The sequence below is a fragment of the Homo sapiens genome, chromosome 6, assembly GCF_000001405.40.
Source record: "Homo sapiens chromosome 6, GRCh38.p14 Primary Assembly".
Taxonomy (NCBI): domain Eukaryota; kingdom Metazoa; phylum Chordata; class Mammalia; order Primates; family Hominidae; genus Homo; species Homo sapiens.
Genome location: NC_000006.12, coordinates 118292638 through 118312011, shown reverse-complemented (window position 1 = coordinate 118312011; position 19374 = coordinate 118292638). Strand labels below are relative to the sequence as shown.

Sequence of the window (19374 nt, the reverse complement as noted above, 5' to 3'; positions counted from 1 at the left end):
AAGCACACCTACTATAGGGTGGTTAAAATATTAAATTAGATAAGGCATGTAGAACACTTATAGTTCCTATCTTGCTGTAAACATTCAATTCACATTAGCTTCATTCTTATTATTGTTTTTGTTATTACTATAGCACTTATTTTATCATAGTAATACTGATATATTTTATAATAATCTGATATAGTCATTGATTACATTTTCTTTTTTTCTTTTTTTTCTTGAGACAGGGTTTCACCTCTGTCACCCTAGGCTGGATGCAGTGGCACAATCATGGTTTACCGCAGCATCAATCTTCCAGAATCATGTGATCCTCCCACCTCAGCTTCCCAAGTAGCTGGAACTACAGGCGCCTGCCACCATGCGTGGCTAATTTTTGTATTTTTTGTAGAGACAAGAATTTTGCCATGTTGCTCAGGCTGGTCTCGAATTCTTGGGCTTAAGCCATCCACCTGCCTTGGCCTCCCAAAGTGTTAGGATTACAGGCGTGGGCCATCGCGCCTGGCCTAAATTGTCTTTTTTCAATAGTCTCCTGATTATGAGGTTGTGTTTTGTCTGACCAATGTCAAGTACAGAGCCTGGCACCATGTAGACATCTACTAAGTATTATCTGCTATTTTTTTTTTATCTTGAATGAATAATGGGGAAGTTTCAGACTAAAGAAAGAAACATAATAAAAAATCAGCCTGTACCAGTGGAGTAGTTCAAACTTTTTAGCTTTAAACTAGATAATGCAGTGCCTTTCTACTACATAAAATGCTCAACAAAAACCCATTAAGAAGGAAGTCATAGTATGAATCTACAATCATTGACTCCAAAAATCATCTTCAAACCTGGGGTCATTCAGAGGAGTATGATAGGACAATGAATTGGAAGAGACAATGAAGAAAGCTAGAGTCTGGATAGAAGACTCAGGGCTGCTGATCAGTGGATTGGCATTGGAGATGTCATAAACTTGGGGTGGGCAGGATTTGGCAATTGAAATAATGTAGTGGTAGAGACAGGAAAGGATTGGATACAGAGTATCCAGGTAGAAGGATTGGATTCCTCTCCATTTATGATTTTAGACTTGATCAATATGACAAAGAATATACTGTTAAATTTTGTAAATCTAATGCCCTCGCTATTGTAATGTACTGCTTAAAGGATCATCCCTTTTTTGGACATGGAACCATCAGGTTGAGCGAGAAATTCCTTACAGAATTGTTTTCTTGGGACACAGCTTTAGCATAATAACACATAGTTTATTTTTAATGCACTTCTATTTAATTCATATGGAATTCAGTCAAAAAATAGCTCCAAAGATAGATAGCATGGGATTTTATATGGTGGAAGTATCTTGGAAGTCACCCAAGAGGCTTTATTAATAAATGGTAGAGAAAGTTTTCATTTTAAATACAAGTCCAAAAAGACAGCAGTCAAGCAAGCATTATGATTAATCAGGATAAATGCTGAATGTTATAAATGTTGACAGAAAGGTTTTATTTTTTTAAAAAAAAAGTAAAAAAAGTTTTATTTTTCCTTCTTTTTAGTTTAATTAAGAAAAAGAAAATTGAATCAGGGCTAATAGAATGATCCCCTATTCTGGATGGTGCACTTATCTTGTAGAACATTCATTTAAAAAACCAATCAACCAGACAAAAGTATTGTACAATCTAGGCTACTTACTAACTGCAAAGAAATACTTATTTCTATCTCCCCAAGGAAAGACATCAGGAACTTCTCTGGAATGCTATATGAGGACTGAAAGCTGTCTCTGAGTTACAGGTAAGGGAAGCTCAGGCAGAAGGTGGCTGTCTCCATTGGAGAGCAGGGGCTGCTTGCTGTCCAAAGTGTACTTGGAGGTCTTCTCCTTTGCAAACTGTAGCCATCAGAATATGCTGTTTGTTCTGTGCCGCAGACATAGTTTTTCCTGCATTTTATCTAACTGGAAGCTCTAAGAATCTGAGAAAGGATACATCCTATATTAACAGGATCATACTGCAGACACTGCTTACTTTGCTGCTGTCTTTTTCTACCTTCATGAATCTCTTTGAGAACACAGGTCAGAAGGCACTCACTGCACATAATGAAAATCCCCGAGTGCTGCTTAAAACAATCTGACTGAGACACAAGCTATTATACAGGACGAGGTGGCTTGGAGGATGGATAATAAGCCTGTACAAAGCTCTTTAACTTCCAGACAGAGTTAAACCTAGCTCTTAGAAAGCTGGCCTGTCAGTTTGATTGCTATTTGGTTGATGTGGCATTCAGCACATCACAGACCAAATTTTCATTTTATTTTTGGCATTTAACTTCTAAGTTGAATTTTAACAAACTAATGACTTCAATGGACTTAAATCTATACAAGTAGAAAACCATGTGGTTTGAAAGTCATTTCAAAGTACATTTATAAATACATCAACTAGACTATGTGAAGAAGAGGGCAATGCTTCAAGGGCAACTTTCTTTTTCTAGCTTGACTGAAAACATGGCAGAGGTCAGCAGAGGAGAACATGGGTGATCCCTAGAGAGGCACAAAGTGGACTCTGGGTTTCAGCTCTACTTTTATTGAATGCATGTACCAAGTACTTCTATATGGTGGGCCTGGTTTTTTCCTTTTTCCCTGGGAAGTGTACCTTAAAGAGTCCCTTTAAGCATATGTCTCTGTGTAATACAGCTTTTAAAGGCTCCTAGCCTGGTGTGGTAATGCATGCCTGTAGTCCTAGCTACTCAGGAGGCTGAGGCAGGAGTTTGAGGCTGCAGTGAGCTATGGTCCTGCCACTACACTACACCTGGGTAAGCTGTCTCTTAAAAAAAAATACACACACGCACACACACACACACACACACACACACACACACATCTACAGGCCCCTTCTGGTGACCTGATACCATCTGCCTTCTGAAATTGCATTCGTATAATGAATGCTTGTTTTCCTTGAGCACTGTGAGTAGCCTGAGAGAACACTGCCCCTGATGGCTTCTCATGTACCACACATGAGCTAAGGCCAATGCTTTCAAGCCCTCAGATGTTCCCAAGGCTATCTATGATGAGTGGAGGAAGCAAACACCAAATATTTCACACCGTAGCTCAAGGGTGCTATTATTGTTAAACTTCAAAAGACATGTTACCTTTTGGGGCTCTATTGGATATAAGCCTGCCATTGAAACAGATGTACTACTTGGAAACATGATAATGGCAAGAGTTGAAACTGGTCCATGAACTGCATAAGGGGCTGCACAGAAATGAATACAAGGATATTTCTAAGTGTTATTAGACATGACTTCTGATGAAAAGGTATTTCGCATATATGAAGGATATGTGGCCATCAGGTGACCATAATAACCATGTCCTTTCTAGTTGTTATTCAGTTTATTTTAAAAAGACACAGATGTAATTAAACTTTCCCATATTTTTAACTCTTTGGCAGAAAACATCTATAAGGGTAGAGTCTTGGAATCTGCAAATTTAACAGTTGCTTCAAAATCAATGCAACCATGGGTAAGCAGGAAAATACCTGGCAGTGATTGGCCATTCTCAAGGTTATGTAGCACAGCCCAGAAAATGTGGGTTTCGGAGCTAGTAGGGAGAATTTCCATGTAGAGCGACTGGTCTGTTAATTTCAACAGGCACATTATTCCTGGGAAAAATGAGACTTTTAATTAAGTTTGTGAAAACTGTACTGCTTATTCTTTGCCATGTAAGACAAAGTGTCCTTTACTTCCCTACTCTGTGAAATAAAACGCACACATGAAAATAAATCAACTTGCACGCTAACCATAACTTCTAGATCAAGAAGGAATAAATGAGCCCAATTCTGTTTAAATTGGAAGAAGATTACCAGTTTGGCAGTCCTGGGTACCAGAGTAGTTTTAAAGATCCATCAGTGACTAAATGAAAGTAACGTGAATTAAGAGTAAATCATTCATTCAATGTAATGCTGCTATAGTGAAGAATAACTAAAAGGGGAGTCCCACTTTATATGTGAATTAAAGGGTGGACCTTTCGGCAACTGTCTTCGAAGAAATGAAGCCAACCCTCTGCGTGTCCTTATAGGGAGGGAGAGGACAATTCAGCATTGACAATACAGCTCAACTCTTGGCAGTCCTGTGCTTCTCAGAGGGCTGAGGATCATACCTGGAGCTTGGGTACAATTGCTTGGTGCAGGACGAAAGGATGTTGGTTAGTGCTGAGCGTGCTGTAAGCTGTGGCCTGTAACGGTAAGACCCTGGGACGAAAAGCTCTGCCAGGTCCTGATCTATTGCCACTGGGCCCGAGCCAATTGCTATTCAGGCCAAGACAACTAGACGAACCTGGCTCCATGGAAAAACGAACACAAACAAGTTGATGCCTGACCTCCTAATTTTGGCTCTGCACTAGACCAACAAGATCATTTTTATTATTATGAAGTGCATTAAAAATGCAAAAGTTCGGCTTCTGAGTTTACTGAACTGGAAATAAATTGCCAGAAGAGACCAGAGCTTTTTCAGATACTTTCAAACTCCTCAATTATTGCTCTGTCTCCTTTCTCATGTCCCTTATTTCTCCTCTTTTTCTTTTTTTCCTTATTTCCTTTTCTGTTAGGAAAAAAAAAGGACTAAATCTTTCTGGTTAAATATTGTGATATTTTGCTCTTCTAGGTCATTCAATGCAAAATATTAAACATGGGAAAGCTACAGAATCTACTGACAAATACCAAAATCAGTTGTCTTTAGAGAGTAAGAATAATGACCCCCACAAACCCCTGCCTCTCCTTCTTTCTCCAATTTGAGAATTTGAATCTCAATTCATGTTAATTTAATCAAGACAAAAATAAACAAACGAGTGCCTTAGTCAGAATGCCAAATGGATTCTGTATTCGTATCAGAAAACCAAATCATTGCTAAGATTTAAATACTTGGGAAATGATTTATTCTCCAAGCATTGTGTTGTTAAAGCAAAGAGAAGTAGCAACCATGGCCCTTGGCCTCTGTGTGCCTACACTATCACCCAGGGCAAGGCTGTGCTCTGAGCTGCTATCCCAGTTTGGTTTATGAGGCCTTCTGTTTAGTTTGCAAAACCAATTCATTTGGCAGTATAATTTGTGCAGCCAATCACATCTAAGGCCAATAAGAGCTCTTTTATAGGCAAATATCTTCCCCTGTGGGTAATTTCACACATGAATACAGCAATCGGGAGCTAAAAATGGATTTCTGCCATTATCTTCTATATGACAAACAGACAGTTTCACTTGGTCTGATGAACTGATAGAAATCCTTGTTCACACAGATTTCTATTTTCTGCATTCCAATAAAAAAGAGAGGCCGTAATAGCCAAGCCAGAAGTGGAACAGAGGGGCTTACTCTGTGGGAATGTTTAATTATAGGCTCAGTTACAACAAAGGCCATTCAATGGCTCATTTATGTCACCTTCCCATGCATCGTTCTTATTATCAGTAGTCAAAAAGACATTACATTTGTGTGGGAGGCACACTGAGCAGTGGCCTTCATTCCGTTTGGACTTTTGCATCACAAGACATCTACTTTCCCTCTGCAAAACACAGAGGTACATGCTGGGCTACAGCAATTTTGTAAGAGACTGAATTTTAAAGCCAGGGAAAAATACTGAGTTTGTAGAAGTGGTAGTGTAGCAGCTCAACAGATCCCAGAGACTTCTGCCCCATTACAATGGAATCAAGGGGTGGAAATGGAAATGTCATCATTTTCTATTAGCCCTGTTAGCCACTAGCAAAATTTATGCTTCCTGTCACTGCAACCTTTGCTCTGTTGATCTTAAAAATTTAAGGTCAGAGAGAAGAACGCTTCTGCCGGAAGACAGAACAAAGGTTCCATGCACTGAAAGTTAAGGCTGCCACCTGGCCATTTTGGGCTCCTCATGCTTCTGAAACAATAGGCAAAGAAGGGAGTTTAGTTCTGGCTGTGTGGCTGAACTTAATTACCGAGGGGAAACTGGACTATTACTTTACCAGGGAAGTAAGGAAGAGCCTGTCTGGCATACAGGAGGAGGTCCTTTAGGGCATCTCTTAGGATTATCATGACCTATGATAAAAGTCAATAGAAACTACAATAAATCAATCCAGGCAGTACTATTAGTGTACTTGACCCTTCAGAAATGAAGGTTTAGAGTCACTCCACGAGGTAAATAACCATGACCAGGGAATACAGAAACCACAGTGGAAGAACATACCAGCTGCAACCATGTGACCAGTTACAGAAACGAGGACCGTAATTGTCATAAATAGTTCTTCCTTGTTATGAACACACTTCTGTGTGTGTATATATAGCAAATATATTTGTTTTCTTCCTACCCTTGTCTCTTTATTATATAACACAAGATAACATTATATAATATTGACTTTATATCATAATATTAAAGGATATGAAGGAAAAGGGTGAACATCATCATCTAAGGACTTTGCATCTGCTTGTAAGGCAAGGGTTAGTGTGTTTTCTAATTGTATGCAGGATAGTCATATCATGTTAGGCAAAAATAGCACCTTATTATTATTGTCTTTATTTAGATATTAAGTATTATTTAAAAGACATGTGAAATTGATGCCAAGTTGAAAAGGGATGGACTTGTGATGGTTAATTTTATGAGTCAACTTGGCTGGGACACAGTACCTAGGTATTGGACAAAACAGATGTTTCTGTGAAGGTATTTTAAAAATGAGATTGACATTTAAGTCAGTAGACTTTGAGTAAAACAGATCACTTTCCATAATGTGGGTGGGGTGAGCCTCACCCAATCAGTTGAAGGTCTTGAAAAAAAAGACTGAGGGCCCCCCAGGAAGAGGAAACTGTACCTCCAGATTGCCTTCAGACAACTTTTTTCCTGGATTTCTATCCCGCTGGGTCTTCCTTGTAGATTTTGGACTTGTCAGCCCTCAATGGCCTGAATCAATTCCTTAAAATCAATCAATCTCTCTTTCTCTCTGAACACACACACACACACACACACACACACACACACACACACACACATTCCTGTTGATTCTGTTTCTCTGCTAATATAATGACAATCTGTGACACTAAAGATCTTTGACTGTGATGTAAACTTGTAACAATTTCTCTCTGTGTAAGTTTTAGAAGTGCAATGTTTAATGATATTTTTCAGGGAATATCAAGTGGTGTTTCATGATATGAGCTCTAGAATCAAAATCATGGGATTTACATGCCTGTTTGCCTCTTCCTTGCTGTGTCTTGGACAAGTTCCCTACATCTCCAAGCCTCAGGCCACTCATCAGTTAACTAAGGACAATAATAGCACCTGCTATATGAAATCATTGTGAGCATCGAATGAGATGAGATATAAAACTCTTGGTATAGTGCTTGCCACATACTAAATGTTAAACAAATGTCAGTGATTGTTATCCTTACATCACGAAGAGTAAATTCTAAAGCCAAGATTGGTATAAAAATCTTCCTCAGATGCCTTTCTGAAAAGTTCACCACAAATCAATTTGAATTGCAAATGCATTTATGGAACTGGCTATTTAAAAAAAGAACAGAACAATCAACCCATCTGGAATAGAAGGCATTTTCATCAGTGCAAATAATCAACCTCTGGCTTATAGACTCCATGTTTGGACCTGTTTATTTCAAGATTTCTTTTCCTTCTTTCTTTCTTCTTCTTTTCTTTTCTTCTTCTTTTTTTTTTTTTTAAGAGATGAAGTCTTACTATGTTGCCCAAGCTGGAATGCAGTGGCTATTCACAAGTGAGATCATCACACACTATAGCCTCAAACTCTTGTTCTCAAGCAGTCCTGCCTCAGCTTCCCAAGTGAGATATTTTTAATAATGCATAATTACATAAGTCACAGGAATCCTCATAATTTTCTATTCTGTTTACATTGTTTATCAATTTTGAGCAACTACTCTGCATTGGCACAAATCATGTTTGAGCACCCATGAGCATATATGAGTAACTCTAGCAATTCACTTTACTTCCTTGGTGTGGTAGGCTGAAAAATAGTCCACCAAAAGACATCCACATCTTAATCCCTGGAGCCTATACACATTACAATATTTGGAAAAAGAGTGTTTGCAGATGTGCTTAAATTGAGTATCTTGAGATGAGAGATTATCCTTGATGCTATGGACTACATTGTGTCTCTCCAAAATTCATATGTTGAAGCCTAACCCCTAATATGGTTGTACTTGGAGACAGGGCCTTTAAGGAAGTAATTAAGGTTAAATGAAATCATAAGGGTGGGACCATGGTCCAATAGGATTGGTGTCCTTTTAAGCAGAGACACCAGAGAGCTTGCTCTCTCTTATTCTAAGAAAACAATATTCAGGAAAGCATAATGAGTAACAACTCTAAATTAGGTATGATCATCTTAGCAAACAAAGCTGTAGTCTACTGCTTCCGAAGTATTTTTGTATATATCATTTCATTTTTAAAACACCAACCCCTCAGAGAAGCATAGAGTACCACGATAAGCATAGAGTACCATGATAAGCATCTTGATGCTAAGGAAGGTGGAGGTGTGAGGAGGTTTAGTAGGTACTACTAGGAGGTTTAGCAGTACACCTAGGTCTCAGATCTTGTAGTGACAGCTTACACAGTGCCCAAAGGCCTTGGCCCTTGGCCCAATTCTCTTCCCTCTCTCCTAATTACTTTGTTAGCTGCATTACAAAGTAGTAATTCTTTTTGTTTCTTCCATTCCCTATACTCAAGCTTCTAAGGGCAATCTATCTTTCTTTTGCATAGGGGAAGGACTCAACTTTAATTCAACTTCTGTTGGAACACCCTTAATGGATTATTGATAAACTTGGAAGCTGTTCTTTTTCAATTTATAGCAATGAACAATCATCAGGAAATACTATCATGGCTGTGGGAAGGAGGAAACCCCTTGACAAAATGAAAAATGAGCTCCCTTGCATCAGTATTGGAATTCTATATTTCTTTCTCTTTCATGTACCTGGTGGTGGCAAGAAAGACAAAAAAATGAAATAAGTAGATGAGTAAGTTATTTGTAAAGAATATTATGAAATGGCAGCTGTCAAAAAAGAAATCATATTATGGGTTTAATGTTTTTTTTTTTTTCTAAATAAGCTGTTTGTTTCCTGATAAACAGTTGCTACCTTCTCGCAAATAGCCTTCAATATTCACCTTTAAATTCCAGAGTATCATGGAGAAGTATGGGCACTGGGCTCAAAGTATTCCATACTAAAACTTAACAATGTCATTATTATTGAATTTTCACAGTACTGTATATTCCTTGAAATCCATGGGGTAGTAGGAAAAAATGTAACTGAGACATTCAATAACATTGCTAGTTTCTTTTTCCTTTTTAAAATTAAACTTTATACCTATTAATATCATAAAAATTAAATTGTCTAATGTCTTAAGACTTGAAAACAAAGTGAACTTTGAGTTATGCTATTATTATGTAAGCAAATTTTTGCCCTCAAAATCTAGAGGTGTCCCCTAAGTTTGACATTCATGAACCAATATATTCATAACCATCTATATGTGTCTATGTATTTTTGAGGAAGATGGGCATGGTGAGACATCACCAAGCTGTAAAAAGACCTGTAACTTGAAAAGGACTTCTTTGTTGTAAAATTAGCCTGTGTGTATACCAGTCTCTTTTCTCTGGATATATGATTCTGGGAAAAGTTAATTTGATAATATTATTGTTACTTCCTGAAATGGTTCCTCCTGGGGTGCACTATATGTGTGAAATCAGTTTAGAATGCTCTCCCTGTCTCCCATGCGTTTCCTTCCCAAATAGTTGACTGTTCTTTATAAGCTACTGCTTTAACATTCCTTCTCTCACACATCTTAGCTCAGGGCTACTGGTTTGCATTGGTACCCACTCATTCCTCGTAAGTAGTGAAAACCATAAACTATTAAACTGAAGATATTTCACAGCATTGTGTGTATGCTACAGATATCCTTATAACAAAACTAATAGATACGGCGTTAGATGCCACCAAGAACTCAAATAGGGGGCAGACACTTCACTTAAAACTGGGTAGAAATAATTACAATTGGCTTTGAAAACAAGTTTGCACATTTGAAGTGCAAAGAAATTTGTAACATTTTGTGTATAGCTTCAACCTTTAAGCAGCTTTATTAATGACACACTTTGTTGAGGAAATGGTTGTTTCCTGGTGCCAAAGACTAAAGAAAAGCTTGCAAGGACAGTTACAGTCTACATCAAGGGTCAGAAAACTAACAAATCTGGCATCTACCTGGTTTTGTGAATAAAGTTTTATTGGAACTCAGCCATGTCCACGGCAGTTGTGTAGTTGTGATGGAGACCGTATGGCCTGCAAAGCCTAAAATATTTATAATCTGCCCCTTCATGGAAAAGTTTGCTGACTGCTGGCCTACCAATATATCTATATCTATAGCTACCAATATAGATGCCTAAACATTGTATGTGATAATGACTAATTTCACAATTTAATGTGGGATGATATGAAAAATAAATCTAAATATTAGCTATAATATTAAAATTTATTTTTTCTACAAATAAATTTCTTACCAAATGTTAAGCCTTTAATGTGAGTTCCATTCCTTCATACCCCCCCTTAACACTGCATACAGTTATGATGGTATTGAACTCATTTTCTGATTTCCATGTTCCCTTGAGATGTTCCCTAAGCAATCTATCAATTCAATCAAAGAATGAATCAAAACAGTGGCTCACTATTGTGTGGGATCTGAATTTTTGTTTTTCAGCTGGTTTCATCAACTTGAGACATAGAGTTGACATTTATCAAAAGCTTTCTGGCTTCCAACATGAAAATTTCTAGATAATGTTCAGCCTAGAAAGTGGAAGATTAAACTTCAATGTTTCCTGTGAAAATAAACCTTCATTAAAAAAATAATTACCAAACACCTACTGTGCCAGGCTCTGCAGTAAGCATCAGAGACACAGCACCCAGCAGAGAAGGAGCCCTATGAGGTCTCTGTCATCCTGGAACTTAGTCCTGACCTCCAACATAAAGCCAGTCCTTTCATTTAAAGATGGAATTGGTTGGAACACAAAGGAAACACCAGTACAATTCATAACTACGGAAACCTCCACAGAGCAATGGAACACAGCTACATTCCTGCACCTGGAATGTCTGGTTTCATGAGCATCCAGAAGGAAGCGGGTGTGAAACTGATCACCAACATGTACATTCTAATTAAATTCAGTCACATTGCTAAAGCTGAGGACTCACAGAATGGTTATAATGTACTTATTTAAAAAATAAAATTTTATTCTAAAATAATTCAAATGAGAAGGAAACCAGGCATATGACTGTAAGTTAGTACTTAGCAATCTAATGAGTGAAGAGTTCTTAAATATAACAATAGTCAAAACAGAAACAATGAAAAACTTAGACTTTTTTGTTCATATTTGTCAATTAAAACTGATCATAAACCATTTTAATCTTCTAACCAGTGTCTGTTATAATTTTGTCCATTTTTTCAATGGCAAAGATTCCTATTTAGAGTTCCTTCTTATTCAAGGGGATTGCTAGCTTTGTTTTCAAACTGAAAATAACTTTATTGTTTTGTGATTATAAAAATGGGTAAAAGTAACAAATGTTCATATAGTGTTTTAGCAATACATAAGTTCTGCAATACTTAAAAGTGTGAAGAACATGAAATACAAGTATAGCCATCACTCAGTATCCATGGGGAATTGGTTCCAGAATCTTCCTTGGATACCAAAATTTGTAGATGCTCAAGTCCCTCATATAACATGGTGTAGTATTTGCATATGACTTCCTGTATACTTTAAATCGGCTCTAGATTACATATAATACCCACTACGATATACCCACTACAATACAGATGCTATCTAAATAGTTGTTATTTTGTATTCTTTAGGGAATAATGACAAGAAAAAAAATGGTCTGTATAAGGTTCAGTACAGATGTAATTTTTTCCCCTTAATTATTTTCAATCCATGGTTGGTTGAATCCATGGATATGGAACCCATGGATACAGAGGGCTGATTGTACTAACAATTCTACTAGCCTTAATAACAGCATTATTTGTTGAATATTCACTGTGCTGGATATTGCAGTAAATGATTTACATGTACTATTTCATTTATGCCTCACAATTAATGAGAGAAGTACTATTATGACCCCCCTTTGGTGGGAAAACTATAGTTTAGAGATGTAACTTTTGCACGAGGCTGTGTAACTGGTTGTTTCAGGGATTCTTAACCAGGGGTCCCTGTATAGAATTCGTGGGGTCTGTGAGCCTGGATGAGAAACCTGGACCTTATTTTCACTGACCTCTAACTGACATTTAGCAATTCTTCAATTGCAAATGTAGGCATTGAGCTTCAGTGGTATTAGAAGCACTTTAGCCTTTTCCACCAACATAAATCATACACAGTGTATATTTTTACTTCGCATTACAATCGCTGCACATCTCTCCAAATATCTCTTATGCTAATCACTGCTTTGAAATGACAGTAGTTAATAGATCTGCTTCTAGATCTTGTGATTTGTATATTACTATATCATCACATTTTAAAATATTCCGATAATGTTATTTTAATATAGTTGGTTCTGCAATTCCATATATTTTATTTTAGACATTTTAAAACATTATTAAAACAGATCTCTAGGCTTCATCTGACTGCCAAACTGAGCCATGGCACAACAAATTTATGGACCCATTGGTAGGAAGTGGAGCTGGAATTCACAGCTGGGCTGTAACAACTCATGACAACGCTGCCATTCTGCCTGCCCTTGGAAACGTTTACATTTTCATAAACATCCTTTCAGATTTGTCTCTATGGACACAAATTCTTGCTTAAATGTTTATATATGAAAGTATGCATGCGACTATGCCAATAAAAGGTTTTATTGTTTGTTTGTTTTTGAGATAGGGTCTCACTGTTTGCTTAGGCTAGTGTGCAGTGGTGTGATCATGGCTCACTGCAGCCTCGACCCCCCAGGCTGTAGTGATCCTCCCACCTTAGCATCCCGAGTATCTGGGACCACAGGTGCATGCCACCATGCCCGGCTAATTTAAAAAATATATATGTTTGTAGAGATGAGGTGTCCCTATGTTGCCCAGGCTGTTCTCAAACTCCTAGGCTCAAGCAATTTTCCCACCTTGGCCTCCCAGTGTGCTGGGATTACAGGCATGAGCCACCATGCCCAGCACAATAAAAGTATTTCTGAGTAAAGAAGTCAGAGGAGAGCAGTGCTTAAGGGAATGAACTCTGAAGTCAAAACCAGCCAAATTTTTGGTAGCAACCAAATAAGAAAAGCGGTTTAATCATATGGCATAAATTTTGAAAAGTTAGTCAAGGGAGAGTCTAGGAGATTCCAGCATGAATCAGCATTGTTGCTAACCCAGCATTACCTACCAGAAGTCATTCAGAGGAAAGAAGTGGAGTTGGCTGACTCTGGAGATTAACAGAAAACTTTGCAATTCGGAGAGGACTTATTGAAGTGGTGTTTGGGTGAACTCAGGAAACAGTCAAGAAACTATTGTCAGGAATAGAAACCATTATGTACTGCCTAAGATTCTTGGGGAGGTAGAGAGTCACTGGGGCTTGCCATTATCTGGGGATTTGTGATGGACTAGAGGAGCAATTGAACTCCTCTAGTTCAAGGGGAAATAAGGTCACAAGGGGGTTATACTCCTGAGAGTTGGATGGGTCATAGGTCAAGATGACCTATGAATGTAAAGACATTAGAGATGTTGTCAAAGAGAACCCTGAGATATAATACTTGTGAGCTCTATTTTTGAAAAGGAAGTCACACAACTCCTTAAATGATAAAATCCAGTGACTCACGATATTGAAAAAGGACTGGCTGTGTATTAGTCCATTTGCATTGCTATAAAGGAATATCTGAGACTGGATAATTTATAAATAAAAGTGGTTTATTTTGGCTTGTGGTTCTGTAGGCTGTATAAGCATGGCACCAGCATTTGCTTTGCTTCTGGTGGGGGCCTCAGGAAATTTACAATCTTGGCAGAAGGTGAAGGAGGTGCAGGCATGTCACATGATGAGAGAGGGAGCAAGAGAGCAGGGAGGAAGTCCCAGATTCTTTTAAACAACCAGATCTCATGTGAACTCACAGAGCATGCAGTCATTACCATGAAGATGGCACCAAGCCATTCACGAGGAATCCGCCCTCATGACCCAAACACCTCCCACAAGGCCCCACCTCCAACATTGCAGATTACATTTCAACATGAGATTTTGAGGGAACAAACATCCAAACCATATCAGGGTGCAGTGCTCAACTGAAAAAAAATATATGTGTGTATATATATATATTATATATATATTATATATATATATTTCTCAGAACTTATATATATAATATATATTTCTCAGAACTTATATATATAATATATATTTCTCAGAACTTATATAATATTATATATATTATATATATATTTTTTATATATATATATATAAGTTCTGAGAAAAAAATGCAACTTAGGATAGAATTATCCTTTGAATTTAAAGAGTAGACATGTTTTCAAAGAAGTAAAGACTTAGGAATGCAACCCCTGTGAACATTTCCTGGTAGACTCACTGCTAACCCAATAGCACTTCCGCAGTGAATCAAGACACTTGATGACCATCTGCTTTCGCATTATAGGGAACATATTCTCTACAAATGGTCAAATTGCACTGTGTGCAGCCTGTACAACCATACATAGCTGTATTGCCTCTTGACAATACCAGTAGTGATGAAATCCAGCCTCCTAAGGGATTAATCAAAATAAATTCAGAAAAGAAGAACCTATATTTCAGAGACTGGTGGTACAGCAAATGTAGTAAGTGTGGAAGTATGGTATAAAAACCATAGGGGTTATATTTACAGAAGTTAACTATTAAAATATTGATAATATAAAAACAGTACAGTAAAAGTCAAGGAAATGAGGGAGGACAATGTTAATCATCTTTCATGGAAGAGAGTAAATCACAACTCTTAACACTTTAAATATAGAGTTGAAAAAAAGTCTTCAGTCCTTGGTGGCCCCTAGAGATGTGTAGAGTAGTGGTTCTGCTTCAGCCTTTAATGTTCGAGCCAATCTTTGTTTTACATCTTAGCAAACTGATACTCTGATTTCTATGAGTTTGGTTTATTAATATTCTGGTCCATGGAAGACGGATCCACACAGGTCTGCTGACAAAATTAGGAGACTGAATGGGCAAGATTGTTGCCATTCAATCTTGTGAATACGACTGAACGGCCAGGCTGTTCATTTTGGTGACAAACACATTCCAGGCATTGTCCTGGGAGACAACTAGCTGCTTTTTTCTTGGTTATGCCCCAATCCAATCACAATCCTTTCCGTTTGAAACTTCTGCAGTACCTCTAGCCCGTTCAATCTTTCCTCACAGCTTATCATGATGACGTGAGCTCAAAATATTTGTTTTGTGATGTGGAGTTCATGAATAGATTTTTGTACAAGGAACTTTGGCTTCTGGCTATAATTCTGGGCTTGCCTCACCATTTATTCCCAACTTCTCTAATCCTTCTCATATTCCTGGGAAATGGAAATTGCTAGTGTAGCAGAGACCAGCTACTTGTTCACTAAACCCATTTTCTTTTCTTCCTGCATAGATTGACCACATTTCCCAGCCTCCCTTGCAATTATTAGGTGTGGCCATGTGACTGAGTTTTGGCCAAGAGAATGGGAGGGGCTGTAGACACACCACTCTAAACACAGCCATGAAAGTCTCCAGGCTGTCTAAGAAGGAGTCCCACAGAGGACTCCAAGTGCCTAGCCCAGGCATGGGCAGACTTCTTAAGGAGCTAGACAGTAGTAACTATTTTGGGTTTATGGGTCATATACTCTGTCACAATTACTCAACACTGCCATTGTAGCACAAAAGCAGCCATGGATAATATGTGAAGAAATGGGCATGGCTCTGCTCCAATAGAACTTTATTTACTAAAATAGGGGGTGGCTCACAGGTTAGGGTTTTCTGACTCCTGCACTAGAGGATGGCAGAGCCACAAAATGGAAGGCACCTGGGTTCCTGAATGGCTGCATGGAAATGCATCCCTTCCCCACTGCTAGAAGCTAGCAACACTTACCCTAAGTTATTCAGCAAGACGAAGCCTCAAAAGGGGCTGTACTCTTAACAGTGCAGGGGAAAGCCAAAGTCAAACGCTCATTGCTCTTCCACCTTGGTATTCCATGTGTAATACTTTGGGCTTCAGAGATGCCAGTTTCCCTAATTCTTTTCTCACTAGCAATACTTTAAAAAGTATTGTAAAGTCATAAAAGGCTAAGTATTAATTTTTAAATCTCCTATTTCTAATTACATTTGGGCACTATAAGCTTAACATCCATAGCCTTTTAAGATGTCATTTTTACATACAAGAAACCTAACAGGCTACTTATGAGGGCATTTTAAAAAATAAGAAGTGAAGTATTGCTTTTATTATGCTCATCAGCTGCCACAGGTTGAGGCTGCCTGCCCTAGTTTTCAAGTGCAGTGACATTACTGAGATTGCTCACTGACACAGAGGATCAACAGGGTTGCTTGGCTCAGGATTCTGATTCATGTCTAATGAAAGATTCCACTCTTAATGAAAGTTTCCAGTCTCTGTAAACTCTCTGGCATTGGGACTCAGATGTTAAGGATAGTTGATACTGCTGTCTACTAAAGTTTTAGTGTTTTGGAACCTTATCCTTTGCATTAATCTGCCTGGTGATTTTTGGTGTTTCTGTCATCTTCACTTATAAATAAAAAGTTATGCACCAAAACAGTGGCTGGCACATAACAGGTACAGAATAAATAAATATTGTCTGGATATCATTCTTTTAAATTTAATACATAATAATATATTATTATAATGACCTCAGGTCCAGAGTTATTTAACTTTGTTTGCCAAATCTCTTATAACAACCACCACAACAAAACAGTAAGAGAAGCTGGCACATATGGGATAGATATAATTTTAGGAGCTGACGGGGAGGGTCAGGGTGGACTGTGGAGCTCTACACCTGTCCTCATAGGATGTCACCTGGATTGCCAGCACAGGCTGCTGACATTTAAAAACTTTTCTGATTATTTTGTAACTCAAAGCAATTATTTAAAAATTATCTGGTATAAATATGAGACTAAGACACACAGAATGTTTTCTAATGAAAACATGCACATGAAATCCTACAAAATTCACATTAATCACATTACCTAGAATAGTTGGAGTTGACTTTTGGATAACTGATTTTGAAATCTCTCTTTTTTTTTTTAGTAATTATTTGTATGATAAAAAACACTTTCCTGATGCAAGAATAGTTTTATGGAGCCCATATCTTCCTAAGATATTCTTCAAACAGGATGGTCTGTGGCTTCAGCCTGTTCAGCATGGAGAGCCATATAAACCAATGGCCCAAGTGAAGTGTTTAAAGGGGACTTGGAGAGTACTTATGATGTTCATTTTTGTCTATTAGTTTCTAGTTTGTTTTAATAAAGTTACGAAAATAACATGTTCTCATGAAATTACTCTCAACTTTATTACAACAATTTTGTGGCAATATTAAGCCTTGACATGTTAATAGTAAATGTGTGAAATAAGCCATCGTCATTTAAATGTCAGGCAAAAAGGAATTTTCTGTATATTTCATGTCAGCTGCTATTTTCCTGAAGAATGTTCAGCACGCGATGGCATACAGTGAAAGAACTGTTTGGCATTTTACTTTAACAACCCTCAGATGTTTTGTATTTCTGGTTGTCACCTAAAAATTCTATGGTAAGCAATAAAGGAATCAAAGAAATCAGCCAAAAATGACTAATACAATGTTTTCTACATTTTTATGCATGAGACCCCAGGCTTGCCTTTTCAAACAGGAAAAAAGTTGGAGAGAACTCATACAAAATTGTTAAGCAGTACATCTAGTTACAAAATCATAAAATAAGGTTAATAGTCCAAAAATGAAATAAGACAGGAATTACTAACCCTGAAACATATGTTTAAGCAGAGAACTGTATCACTGCTGGTCACCTTTTATACATTATCTAACTTAATCCCCTGTGAAGCTCCATAAGGCAAATCTCATCACCTTGAAGTTTAGAGAGAATAAGTAACTGGCCCAAATAACTTAAAGCATACACAGAAGCCAGTTTAAATCTAGGCTCCTTGGACTCTGAAGTCCATGCTGTTTCGGACACACCATGCTGCTTAATTCACACTTTATGTGGCAGATGTTGAAATAGTTTTCCCACTCCAATTTATTCTCTCTCCACATGACTTAGTGTTTTCTTTATTAAAATCACATACTAGCAAGATACCTGAACTACTTTAAAAATCAGTTAGGAAATTCAACAGAGCATAGTGTCTGTAGGCAGAGAATGTGTCGTCATTGTCCAGACACAGCTTCTGAACCACATGTCCATACATCCCAGCTGGCCTGGCTTCTAGTCAGTATACTCGTATTGTCCTGGTAGAATTATTACTAGTCCTGTTGGGGTAGGCAAAATGATAATCCCCCAAAGATATTCACACCCTAATCCCTTAAACCTGTGAATATATTACTTTATGAGGTAAGAGGGACTTAGCAGATGTGGATTTTGAGGTGAGGATATTATCCTGAATTATCTGGGTGGGCTGAATGTAATAGCAGGTCCAAAAGAGAAAAGCAGGCATGGCAGAGTCTGATTTGAAGATGCCATTCTGCTGGCTTTGAAGATGGAGGAAGAGGCCATGAGCCAAGAAATACAGGTGGCCTCTAGAAGCTGGAAACGGTAAGGAAATGGATTCTCCCCTAGAGCCTCCAGAACCAACATACCTCTGCTAATACTTGATTTTAGCCCAAGTAGGCTCTGACTTCCAGAACTGTAAGATAGTAAATTTGGGTTATTTTTTAAGCCACTAAATTTGTGGTAATTTGTTACAGCAGCAATAGGAAACTAACACCCTTTCAATTTCAACAGTGTCTTGTTTGTACAATACTTATAAGATGATAGACCTCAGACCAAGCTCTGACCTTGAAAAGCCAGCACACCCTCCAATGGAAAAGCCTCCATGTCAGTCTCTTCCTGGGCTTGGTTTCAGGGGTCTCTGAGGCCCAGTCAAGCTCATTTCCTGTGCTTTCTGTGGATGGCTATAGATTTACTGCTCTGGATTCAATAATGTTGTCAGGTAATAAAGAATAGAAATACATAACCACTTCTCAAAGTCTTGTAAGATTTAGAGTTTGCAGAAGCACTATGCCTTTCAGATAGATGAATTTAGAATTAGGTCATTTGCTTCCCAGGAACATGGGGCTTTACTGTCCAGTCAGCACAGCAGTCAGCGCAAGAGGCAGAGCTGTTGCAGACAGCGGAATGATGGGAGGGAAAAGGAATGGATTTTTTCCAAGAGTGGAAAGTGAAAAAAAAAAAAACAACCAAATAATCAATGTTAGGCAGGCGAGCTTCATTTAGTCATTTAGTT

General features: G+C 37.9%; 1 protein-coding gene and 1 long non-coding RNA gene across 3 annotated transcripts in view; one reads left to right on the top strand and one right to left on the bottom strand.

The window, feature by feature from the left end:
* Window positions 1-19374, bottom strand: part of SLC35F1 (solute carrier family 35 member F1) — a 410408-nt gene that overhangs the window by 5660 nt on the left and 385374 nt on the right. The gene's annotated exons all lie outside the window — the stretch shown is intronic.
* Window positions 1545-11372, top strand: LOC124901387 (uncharacterized). The gene is made up of 2 exons (XR_007059723.1): window positions 1545-1764; window positions 8696-11372. It is a non-coding gene; the product is annotated as an uncharacterized LOC124901387 (long non-coding RNA).